Consider the following 13,078-nt stretch of genomic DNA (forward strand, 5'->3'; position numbering starts at 1 on the left):
TGATCTGTCCCATGTGGTCTTCTCCCAGGACCAGGCAGATATTGCTAATCAATAGTGACACTCTATTCAGGGCATCTCCCCAGGCCTCACTGTTTTCTTCCATTTCCATCCTAAGTGGCACTAGAGAAAAAAAAATCTTCATCAAGATCCCTTTATTAGACATCAAGGTCTCATCCAGCTTCACCCTATTAAGGTTCTCTGGAGGTTCTGTAGTTGTCGGCCAAGCTTTGTCTTTATTTGTGAGAGGAGCAAATTTTTTCTTATAAATGAATTTGAAAAGGAAGAGATTTTTCTTTTTGGAGATAAGTATTGTATAATAATGACAGATTGCGTAATGAATTTCCTGAGGCAAATGATATTGACAAGGAATACTGAGAACACCGAAAATTCAATTTCCACATCAGGAAGAAAGGACTTACCCCACCCATGACCCTGTGTGTTGGGATAGCTTGGAAGTTTGTACGTGGTAATTTTGTGCTGCTCTATAAATGCAGGCTTTCCTATTTCTTTAAGCAAACCTATATTTCCCCAGTGCAAGAGCCTCTTTGCTGGTCTAGAGAAGGTTTCATTCTGGGAGGGGTTTCTTACCGCTTGGGACCAAAATAGGATGACAGTATCTAGTTGTTCCTTTTCAATTACAGATAATTTTGCCCACCACACTTTAGAAGTGGGACCTGCCTATAAAGTTGCATTGCAAATCAACCATCCTCAGTATGCTGGCTTCTGGGGAGATTTAGATGTAAGCTTATACCTCTTGGGTCTCATTCATCCTCTTATCCATGGAAACTAACCAAAAGCCAGGAGTTTCATGTACTTTCATTGAATGAAAATGAAAAATTTCTTGAATCTGTGTCATATTAGGGGCTTCACATGGCAAGGAGAGGGGTGAAGAGAAGCCATTCCCATAAAAAACATGCACTGAAAAGACATATGCCTTGCGAAACTCCATGGGGAAACCCTTTCTAATTCAGCAGGAAGATTTGGAAGCCCGATGGACTTGTTTATGTTACATGATATGAAGTACCTTGTTGTCTGGCAACTGGGGGCCCATATACTTTATGGAAATGGATTGTTCATGACATGTACACATTGCAAGTTAGTAAATACTTATTAAGACATTGGACTGAAACTGTGGACTGTGCCTTGTACAAGCTGGTAACTAGAGGTCTCTGGACCACCAGTGCTGCCCTTCTGCAGGTGGCTCTGTAACCCTTTATCTTCATGTTGCCCCACTTACCACCCTTTGGCAGGATTTACCAGTAATATTTGATAGCATCCTCTGAGCCCAAGCCTGTGGGGTCTCTGACAGCAGTCAGTAACCAAAGTGCAGGTGAAATAATCTTATTTTGTATTCCTTGATTCTAAGTTGCACCATAGATTTGCTAACATCCTTTTAGGGAGTGGGGAGGTGCACTATAGATCAATTGTAAGACATGCCCTAATTTTAGAAATCTTGACATGTTTAAAAGTCTTTTAGATTTGAGGCACTGCAGTAGAAAAATTAATCAGATTATTGTGTTATCAGTAGAAATAATATTTGTGGAGAAGCCCAAATGAAAGTCCATATAGATTTATCCATACCTTCAGGATCCCACTATAAGGAAAAGGAAGAAAAGGTTGTTTTCCTGCTGTAAGAAAATGATATTATGAAAAGATAAATTAATAAAGGAGGCAGAAAAGGAAATATTTGGAGACAGCCTGGTGCAGGGGAAAAGGCATGGACTTTGTGCCTCAGCTTGGTTTACTAGCTGTTTCCTTGAACTGGTGAATTAATTTTTGTCAATCTCTGTTTCCTTATTTGTAAAGTGGCAATTTCTACATCATAGGATCATTTGACAGGCTTAAGGGAGAAGAACATGTGTGAAGAATCTAGTACCCAGAGTACAACAAATGTTAGTCATTTTTGAATCTTTGTTTCTTACCAGATGACTTGAGCTGAAGTCTTAAAAGTTATGTTCATCATTTTATTAAAATTATGATTAATATAATTAGCGATTTATTAAACAACACAAAATAATAGTAAAATTGGAAACTTCAAACAGAAGATGAGAATACTTTATGTGAGTCATAAATATTTGTGATTTTTTTCTTACATAGTTTCAGATCAGACCATTCTCTGCCAGAAGTAATCAGTAGATTTATAAATCATTGTGAATCTGATTAATTGAGAAAAAAACTCAGATATTAATAGTCCCAAAGATTAAAAAATCATTTTACATTTAAGGAGTGCTATATTATTTATTTTCTAATAACACGATCAACTTTGAGAACCCCATACCCATTGTATTTTCTATACATTTTGAGAAATTTGACTTTTTCATTTTTTTGAAAGTCTTTGATATGCAAAGAAAATAACACTCCTTCAAAATGTAAGCTGATGGCTTATACATAATTGAGGATGCAGTTCCACAGAGGCATCTTCTCTCCACGATAGAAATCTGTTCTTTGCAGAAACTTCATGAACATTTGCTGGATGCTTTGCATGTATTATTGTCCAGGCTGCTTTGATTATCTAGTAGATCCCAGAGATGACTGTCATAGCATAAAAAGACATGCCCATAGCAGTAGAGCAGGCACTAGGGAGAATAGATCCAGTCACAGATACTTGGAAGATCTTCTACATAGGGGGCAGAAGTTGGTGTCAGAAAGGTAGGGCAGGCCAGGCGCGGTGGTTCACGCCTGTAATCCCAGCACTTTGGGAGGCCGAGGCGGGTGGATCACCTGAGGTCAGTAGTTCGAGACCAGCCTGGCCAACATGGTGAAACCTCATCTCTACTAAAAACACAAAAATTAGCTGGGCGTGGTGCCGGGTGCCTGTAATTCCAGCTACTTGGGAGGCTGAGGCAGGAGAATCGCTTGAACCTGGGAGGTGGAGGTTGCAGTGAGCTGAGGTTACGCCACTGCACTCCCGTCTGGGTGACAGAGCAAGACTCTGCCAAAAAGAAAGAGAGAGAGAGAGAGAGAGAGAGAGAGAGAGAGAGAGAGAGAGCACAAGCACAATGGGCAGCAGGTAGAACAATAGCAACTGGTATCAAGGAGGTCCAAAGTGAGATGACGAGGTGGGGTAACCATCAGAAGAGGATGCTGATCATCTAACTGGACATAGGAGCACTAACATTTATTAAGAACTTGGCTCTGTGCTAAGTACTTACATTATCTTATTTAATCTTAAAAGACTACAAAATTGGTATTTTAACATCCTCACTTTACCAAAGAAGAAAGTGAGTTTCAGATAATATAATTAACTTGCCCAAAGTGACATTGTTTCTAAGTGGCGTGGCCAAGATTTGAACCAACATCAAGTTGATGTGATAGCCACATTCAACCACTCTACCATACTGTGTCCACAGCAGGACCTGATCCAGGGAGGCAGACAGTTAAGGCATTCAGAAAATTGAGTGGGAAGATCCTCGTTTGAGTTCAGGGACTAGACTTCAGCCCTGGGAAGGAAGCTGCCAAAAAGAAGCAGTGTCCTTGTCTTAGATATGCAAGGCACTAAGCTCTAAACAAAAGACAGACGTAGGCATTGCTGTCAGACCTGCGTCATCAGATTTCAGCCAGAATCACATCAGGAGTAAATATGCCAGATTCCACTTGAAATGATGATTAGCCTTGGGTAAGAACCAGAGGAGCTTAGCTGTGAGGAGGGAGACTGCTTAGCATGGCTAGCCAGGATGGGCCCAGCACTAAAAGCACAAAGTTGTAGACTTTAACGTCAAAGGGCCAATTAAAGTGAAACGAATGAGGCCTGTTCTCATATCAGCACTGAAAACGTGCTGCTGGTCTGTTACCTGAACAAATATCTTCTCTGATCCATATTGGAAAAAAGTAAGAAGGCAATATACATTTCTCTCTGTCTCTGCAATAACTAAAAACTCCTGCCTTTGATGATGAGAACAGAAATTAGCAATTAACATGACCATTTACAAAGCATCTTTATATATAGTCATGCACTGCATAATGTTTTGATCAACGATGGGCATATATGATGGTAGTCCCATAACATAATAAAACTGAAAATTCCCTATAGCCTAGTGACGTTGTGATGATTCTGATCCTGTATAGGCCCTAGGCTAATGTGAATGTTTGTGTCTTTGTTTTTAACAAAAAGTTTGAAAAGTAAAAAATGTTACAATATTTAAATCATAAAAAACCTCATTAATAATAAGGATATAAGGAAAGAAAATATTTTATACAGTACCGTACAGTGTGTTTGTGTTTTAAGCTAACAGTTGTTACATAAGAGTCAAATGTTAAAATTTTTTTTAATTTATAAAGTAAAAAGGTTATAGTAAACGAAGGTTAATTCATTATTGAAAAAAGAAAAATATTTTATATAAATTCAGAATAGCCTAAGTATACAGTGTTTGTAAGTCTACAGTAGTGTACAGTAATAGCCTAGTCCTTCACATTCCCTCCCTGCTGACTCACTGACTCACCCACACCACTTGCAAGTTAGTGCCCTATACAGATGTACTATTTCTTATCTTTTATGCTGTATTTTTACTATATCTTGTCTATGTTTAGGTGTGTTTAGATACACAAGTACTTATCATTGTGTTTCAATTGCCTACAGTATTCAGTACAGTAACATACTGTTACAGGTTTGTAGCCTAGGAGTAATAGGCTGTCTCATATAGCTTACATGTGTAGTAGGCTCTCCATCTAGGTTCATGAAGTACACTCTATAATACCTGCATAATGACAAAATCACCCAATGATGATTTCTCAGAACCTATCTTCATCGTTTAGTGATGCATGACTGTACATCATTTTATCAGGTTCTCACAACAGCCCTATAGATATGAAGTCATATCTCACTTCAGTTTTACAGTCTAAAGTCAGCACAAAACGTGAAAATTATACATTGTCAAAATTGCTCTTAAGAGTTCCTTAAATTACAGAGTACAGTGTACATGGTTTTATACGTATTATGCCATTTTTATGTACAACACGGCCAATTTTTCTTTCTGCATGGAAGTATATACTTATTTAAACATTAGATGAAATAGACTCCATTTAGTGGCTATTCATATGAAAAACATATTTCGTATGTGTGTGTGTTGTACTAGTGGTTGGGTTGTTTTTAGTTGGTTTGTTTTTTTCTAAGTACATTGATTTTCCACATATTGAATGTATATGTAAAGTGGCTCTCTTCTTTTATTAGTCTCATTTTGAAAATAAAGAAGCCAGTGATTCAGTTTATGTGTGTGTCATAAGGTTTTAAACCTAGGTTATAATTTACAAATCCTGAGTAGGGTCCACTGTACCACACAGTCACCCCAGCATGATTATCACACCTGAAGGACGGGGCATTCGGCATTCATTAGCTAACAGAATTCCATGGGTGCCAAGAAGCCCCTTGTGACTTGTGCCCTGACCATGCTGCCACAGTGATGGTGTGGGACTTAGACCTACCATGCTGTGCCATGGCTATTGGAAGTTATCGATACATTGAGTTCTGGCCATGCAGATGTGTCCAGCGATTGAACATGACTTCAAGACTCAGTTATTTATGGCTTGGCTTCACTTAAACAGAAAAGCTTTTTCTGTTGTTTTCTGATGCCTGCATGTGACAAGGAGACATGTTCAGACCCCAGGGCACGTGGAGTCTGTACTTTTTGGCAAGATGGCTTAATGATTGTTTTTGATTGCTGACTTACTTTTTAAAAAAATCTATTTGGAAGTTTATGGCCCTTTTCTGACCCTTTATAAAGATTTTATCATCTCTAATAAATGTCTAGTAAATCAGTTCCAATTGCCTAGGCAGCCATATTTGAAGTGGATCCTTCCCTCTCCTCCTGATGCCATTTCTCCAACACTGCGGTTGGTAAATCTCCCCCAGATCCCTGGCCTGATGCATCACAGTCAACCTCCCAATCCCCCTGTGATTTCTGCCCTTCTTTGCCTTTTTCTCATTTGTTTTGTTTACTCTAACATCTCTGAAGCACTGCTTGGTATTCTTATTGGTTTTAAAAGATGAGAAAAGGGAGTATGTCAGCAAGAGTGGTGGAGTAAGGACCTCAGAGAATCCTCTCCCCATAAAAGCAATGAGAACAGCAAAAGAAATGGTCAAAATCAACTTTTTAAGAGCTCTGGAAATTAACCAAAGGCTTATAACATTCAGGAGCATGTATTCAAGAAAAATGAAGGAATACTGTTAAAACACTGAACTTTATGGTGTTCTGCATTATTCCCATTTTGATATTTAAATATATATGGAAATACAAGGGACCCAGAATAGTTAAAATGATCTTGAAAATGAGTATAGGTCGGAGGTCTCATACTTCCCAATTTCAAAACTTACTACACAGCTACAGTAAGGAGGACTCTGTGGTACTGGCATAAGAATAAACATAGATCAATAGAATCGAATTGAGAAGTCCAGAAATAAACCCCACATCTATCCTCAACTGATTTCAACAATGGTGGCAAGAAAATTCAACGGGCAAAAATTAGATCAAAGATCTAAACGTAAAAGCTGAAACAATAAAACTCTGAGAAAAAAAACATAGCTGTAAATCTTCGTGACCTTAAATTTGAGAATGGCTTCTTAGCTACGATGCCAAAGGCAGAAAAAAAAAAACTAAAAATAGAAAATTAAACTTCATCAAAATTTAAAAATTTTATACTTCAAAGGATACCATAAAAAAGGTGAAAAGACGGCCAGGAGTGGTGGCTCACTCCTGTAATCCTAGCACTTTGGGAGGCCGAGGCGGGCAGACTGCCTGAGCTCAGGAGTTCGAGACCAGTCTGGGCAACATGGTGAAACCCCGTCTGTACTAAAATACAAAAAATTAGCAGGGCGTGGCAGCGTACACCTGTAGTCCCAGCTAATCAGGAGACTGAGGTAGGAGAATTGCTTGAGCCCAGGAGGTGGAGGTTGCAGTGAGCCGAGATCACGCCACTGCATTCCAGCCTGGGCGGCACAGCAAGACTCCGTCTCCATTTAAAAAAAAAAAAAGGTGAAAAGACAAAGCACAGAATGGGAAAAAGTATTTGCAAATTTTCTATTCGATAAGATCTATTATCCAGAATGTATAAAACCTCTTATAACTCAACAATAAAAAGACAACCCAATTTTTAAAATGGACAAACGATTTGAACAGACATTTTTCCAAAGTAGATGTACATTAATGGCCAATAAGCATATGAAAGATGCTCTACATAATTAGTCACTTGAGAAATGCAAATCAAAAGCATAATCAGAGATCAATTCACATCAATTCACTAAAATTAAAAAAAAGATGGGCAATAACAAGTGTTGGTGAGGATGTGGAGAAATTGGAACTCTCATACATTGCTGGTGGAAATGTAAATGATGCAACCACTTGAGAAAGCAGTTTGGCAGTTCTTCAAAAAGTTAAACATAGAATTTCCATGTGGCCTAACAATTCCACTCCTAGGCATACACCTAGGAGAAGTGAAATTTTTATATACAAAAACACTTGCATAAAAATGTTAATGGCAGGATTATTCATAATAGTCAAAAAGGAGAGGCAATCCAAATGTCCATCAACTAATGAATGAATAAATAAAATGTGGTAATCCATAAAATAGAATATTAGCCCCCAAAAAGAATGAAATTCTAATATATGCTACAACATGGATGAACCTTGAAAATATGCCAGGTGAAAGAAGCTAGTCACAAAGGGACACATATTATATAATTCTATTTATATAAAGTTTCCAGAATAGGCAAGTTCAGGCAGACAGAAAGTAGATTTGTAGTTTCCAGATGCTAGGGGTGGGGAGAATGAGGGATGACTGCTAATGGATACAGGGTTTCCTTTTGGGGTTATGGTGAAAATGTTCTGGAATTAGATAGTGGTGATGGTGCACAAATTTATGAACATGCTAAAAACCTCTGAATTGTATTAAAAGGGTGAATTCTATGGAATGCGAATTATGTCTAAAGTTAACTTCCAAATATCAATTTGATTAAGATGGAATAAATAAAACATTTTTTTACACCCAAAGAAAACTTCGTTAATTCACTCGGTGGTAAAATGATTCTTTTTAAGTAAAAAGAACTCACAGATTTATTCTAGAATAGCAATTTTCTTAGTGACAAGGCAGGGAAAGGCAACATCCTTGACATTAATATCTTCCTCATCCTATATTTTCTAAAACTTCTTCAAAATATACCGTGTTCCTTCTAGTTCAATTTAGCTATAACGTGACCACAAAATATACCCCTACACTGAAGCCACAAGCAGAGATAACAAGTAGTTTCAACTCAAGTGCCAACTCAGATTGATTGGTAGTGGTTACATGCAGCACTATGTTTAGAAGGATTCTAAGGCTGTATCCAGAGCAGGCCTGGAAAACGTAGTGATTAATTTAGAAAATTAGTCTTGAAGTTGGCAGTGATAGTGGAGGTGGGCGGTGCTTGGGCTAATGATTAGGTCTAGGAAAATGCATCATTCTGCTGAGTGGATTGCATCCAATCAGCTGGGTAGATACATCTTTGCATGGACTGTAATGCTGCTAAGAGGCACGTTCACATGGCGTGACCTAAAAACAAATATGAGATCTTTAATTTAAATGCAAAATTCCAATATTTTAAAATAACCCACATTTATGGCTAAGATGTCAAAATCACTCAATGAATAGCACCGACTTTCATCACACAGAATAAAATCTAGGTATTTTAAATAGTACATTTTATATAGTGTGTGCTCTCAAAGGTTCTTGACAAGAGAACATTAGCATAAGCTTATAGTAAAATCTGATCAGGTGAGAGAGAATGTCAAGAGAATTTTTTTATGGCACTCACTGAAAAGCCAAGATAATCACCAGCAGATGGACTCTGTGCACCTGCTTTAACACACATTCACTTAAATTCGAGTTGTACCTTCCAGCAGAACCGTTGCCTACCTCCTTTACATGCTACAGGAGCCTGCACTTTCTTTGGTAGATGAGAGGTGGCTGGAGAATGAACCCTATTTACCTGTCCATACATTGTAAGTCAGCAGTTCTCAAAGACCAGTAGCAACAGTATCACCTGGAACATCCAAGAAATGCAATCTGTTAGAAATGCAGCATCACCCCAGCTCTACTGGATTGGAAACTCAAGGGGTGGGCCTGGGGATGTGTATTTGAACAAGATATCCAGGTGACTCTGGGCTCAACTTTAAGAGCATTGCTTTGAGTTGTCCCTTTCTGGAGTGGGGAAAGGAAAAGGGGAGGGAGAGAAAAGGGGAGGCTGGGGAAGTACCCAGGGAAAATTGAGCCTCCCATGGCAGCAAAGTTGGTATTTGATATGAATGTTGATAGGACATAGCAAGGTCTTTATTTGTTTCTTTCCTCTTTTATACTCCATGTCCAACTCTCTACTTCTTCGGAAAAGGTTTGAGGTACTCACGTGATCTCCCCCAATCCAGCCTGCTTGAAGTCCCTTCTTTTGGGGCAGTAGCAAAGAGTGGGGAAAGAGGATGGTGCTAATACATTCCTCATGCCACAAGAAGCAGCACTTTTTATCCAAAAAGGGTTGGCCTCAAGAGCCCCAGCTTAGAATAGTCAAACCCAACAAGGCCTTCACCTTGGAAATGCACGTGAAGCACTTAGAACAGCACTTGGGCCTGAGTTGCAGTGAGTGTCGCCTGTACGTGGGAGGTATGATGGTGTCAGCAATTGCTGCAAGGGCCAGATTTCTCCACAAGGGTGCCTGGGTTGGCATCTAGAAGCAATTGCTATCTGCACCCAGTGGGCGGTTGCTATGTTAAGAAGATTGCCAGGAAGAGTTAGATCTTGATCTTGAAATCCTTCAGTCGGCAAGAAAGGATCCCTGAAGACAATGCCCTAACTGTGTCCCTCATGTGAGGATGGCCGTCATCTGAGCTCCAGTTAGCCTGTCGGTACTCGCCACGGATATAAGGATCCAGGCTGGGATGGGCATTTGAGACAACAAGCGTGGGAGGACAGGCTGAAGAACATCAAGCAAAACAAAGAGGCTTTTCAGATCCTTTCTCGTAAGAGTTTAGGGTTAGGGAGACCGAAGTGCAGACACAGGGTGGTGGAAGCCACAGGACGAAAGACAGCAGGTTAAATGACAGCCATGAATGTGGGGCCCTCCGAGAAAGCATGAGAATCTGCAGGCCAGAAAGGCCCAGGAGGTCCCCAAAGACCCACAGGCAATTGGATCATTGACATAGGAAACCAGATGGCCAGAGGTGGGTTTGGAAGGCTCGAGTTAAGGTTCTTGGCTTCAATGCCCCACCAACTTTTATAGAAATGCTTTTCATATCTTGTACAGCCAGCAGAAAGCACTTGTCGATATTAGGAGGGTAGAGGGAGAAGGGAAGGAGAATGAACAGAGGAAAAGGAAAGGAGGAGGAGAAGGACGGGGAAAGGGGAATAAGAAGACAGAAGAGAGGAGGAAAAGGAGAAAGGAGGAAACAGGGAATCCGAAAGGAGAAGTGAGGATAGAGGAGAAGGAAGGACAATTGCTAGTCCCAGAGTGTCCAGTGCTTTCCCAGCCCTGTGCTACATGTTTTGCAAGTGTTTCCTCATTTATTTCTCAGAACTATGAAATTTGGTCATGGAAGAGTCAAGGGAAGGAAGTCTTATTCCTAATTTAATAAAAAATAGCTTACAATGTACTTTTTCTGCCTAGGTCCCAAGATCCAGGCTTAGGTAACCAAATCAATTCAGTCTACATAATGATGCAAGTTAAATGCAGATTGAAACATTAGGTAATGGGGAGAGCTATGTAAGGAGAAGGTTGAGTCCACCCAGTTATTCTGACTTCAGTCATGCCGCTCTTCTGATTCTGATGTCCCTCAGCCTGCAGAAACATATGCCTATGGGGACCAGGGAGATGAATGCAATGTGCTAAATGGGCCTGGTGTAAAAGAATAAAAAGCAGAGACACTCAGTGTGAGGAGTGAAGAGGGACTGATGGCAATTATGGCAAAGTGGAGACCACATGCCACCCTCTGAAGAGGCAGCACCACTCAGCTCCAGCCTGTTGTCATCATCTGGTAACATGGTCTCAGTGCTTTGTAATTTTTTCAAAAGAGGCCAGTGATCCAGTGTTCAGGCAACTTTCAGTGGGTTGACAAAATATATCTGCAGGTTTATCTGCCCAGAGATTTACTTAACTGCAGTTACGTATTTTTCCAGGTTGCAAACAAAAATTGATCCTTTTCCTATGTTCCTTTCTCTTTCCAGGCCATTACATTTATGTGGATACCTCCTTTGGCAAGCAGGGGGAGAAAGCTGTGCTGCTAAGTCCTGACTTACAGGCTGAGGAATGGAGCTGCCTCCGTTTGGTCTACCAGATAACCACATCTTCGGAGTCTCTGTCAGATCCCAGCCAGCTGAACCTCTACATGAGATTTGAAGATGAAAGCTTTGATCGCTTGCTTTGGTCAGCTAAGGAACCTTCAGACAGCTGGCTCATAGCCAGCTTGGATTTGCAAAACAGTTCCAAGAAATTCAAGGTAGGTGGAGTTTAGGAGAAAGATATAAGGCCTATTATCTTTGCTTTATACTATTCTAAAATCTTATGAAAACTTCTGACATGGAGGTTAGTTATCTCCTGGATTATGACGTGATGTTTCATAAGATACATACCATAGAAGAATATTAGCAATGGAAATTAACATTTTGTTTATTCCTTAAAAGAGCTTCTTCCCAGATTTCTTTCCCATCTATTTAAATGAGCCTTCTGTAAAAATCTAAATGGGGCTTAAATCAACCTCTTCAATGAAAATAGATTTTCTATGGCTTTAGGGAGTATTCTCATTTCTATAATTTTATTTCATCCTTCTAAATTGTGTGTGCTATGTGTTTGTTTATCTTCTTAATCATTTCTTTGCTACAAATTTTGAACAAAAGATTATAATAAAAGGAAAGTGAAAATACTTTAAAAGAGAAAAGATACTTAAAGGACATGTTCCATTTCCTTTTCAAAGAGGGAAGTTGTTCCTTTGGGAGTCCTGGAAAAGGAAGGTAGCGAATGTAAGGTGAAGCTGGGTGTGGACTGGATAAGGAAGGAGGATGGGATCCAGACACACCTGGCCATGAAGTGTGATGTTTATTGAAAATATTTCATCGGGGACACAATGGAGCCATCATGAAAATATTCCCCATTCCTAATCCGTCTTTCAATTTCCTATCCCATCCCACTTCTTTGAAAGGCTTGAAATGCTTTACTCTCCAATACCCACTGTCTGCTTGGAGTCCTTCCCTGTCAGCCAGTGGTTGAGGATGGAGCATGGGGGCTCTGAGTTCTCTCTTTAACAACTTCTTCCCAGCAGTTATCACCTCCTAAATCTGCCAGCATAGTTGCAGAATATAGGGCTAAAACCACAGGAGAAAAAGTGATTACTTTCAGAAACAGGACCACAAGTGCTACCACAAGCACTGAAGGTGGTGGTGGTTGGGATAGCAAGAGAAGAAAAGACAGCTGACTCTGAGCTTCTATCAGATGCCTTATTTACCTTGAAGTTTTGATGTATGAGTTTATGTGCACATGCGCATGCACACACATATATACACACACATTCTTCTAGTAAAGTCCGTAGTGAAATTGGTATCCAATAGCAATTAGCTGAGACTAACAATCCTGTTTTGCCTTAAGTGGCTGAACAGCTCCAGACTAATAGCTGAAATACTGAACCAAGGAAACATGATGTTTTGAAGTCTAACTCCCCTTCTTCCCCATATGTTGTGCAGATTTTAATAGAAGGTGTACTAGGACAGGGAAACACAGCCAGCATCGCACTATTTGAAATCAAGATGACAACCGGCTACTGTATTGGTAAGTGGGCTTCATTTTCATTAAATCAAATTGTGAATCTTTTTCTAAAAGTTACTGTTGCCAGAGGGAACTGAATCAATCCTAAAGACCAACTATTTTATAGAATGCACTGCATAATGCATACTGGTTTAAATTCTTTGCTAGATTCATTTGAATACTGTATGTTTTTTGTCTTTAGTGTGGGAAGGCTCATTAGAATCTGCCTGTACAGTCTGGATTAATGAAAGAAATATAGATGCAGGAACTGTAACTTCAGAGCTGCCACCTTAACCTCAACACATTCTGATTAAAATAATTTACAAATTGCTG

At 39.6% G+C, this 13,078-nt stretch overlaps 1 protein-coding gene across 3 annotated transcripts in view; it reads left to right on the forward strand.

Annotated features, from left to right (window-relative positions):
- Window positions 1-13,078, forward strand: part of MAMDC2 (MAM domain containing 2) — a 183,392-nt gene that overhangs the window by 53,455 nt on the left and 116,859 nt on the right. For all 3 annotated transcript variants that reach the window (NR_125850.1, NM_153267.5, NM_001347990.2), the window contains exons 3-4: window positions 11,176-11,447; window positions 12,685-12,769. Coding sequence is in view for 2 of the 3 variants with exons in the window: in NM_153267.5 (NP_694999.3) it covers window positions 11,176-11,447; window positions 12,685-12,769 (357 nt within the window). In the remaining variant the exon portion in view is untranslated. The remainder of the gene's footprint in view (window positions 1-11,175; window positions 11,448-12,684; window positions 12,770-13,078) is intronic.

This window comes from Homo sapiens, chromosome 9 (assembly GCF_000001405.40).
Source record: "Homo sapiens chromosome 9, GRCh38.p14 Primary Assembly".
NCBI classification, from domain to species: domain Eukaryota; kingdom Metazoa; phylum Chordata; class Mammalia; order Primates; family Hominidae; genus Homo; species Homo sapiens.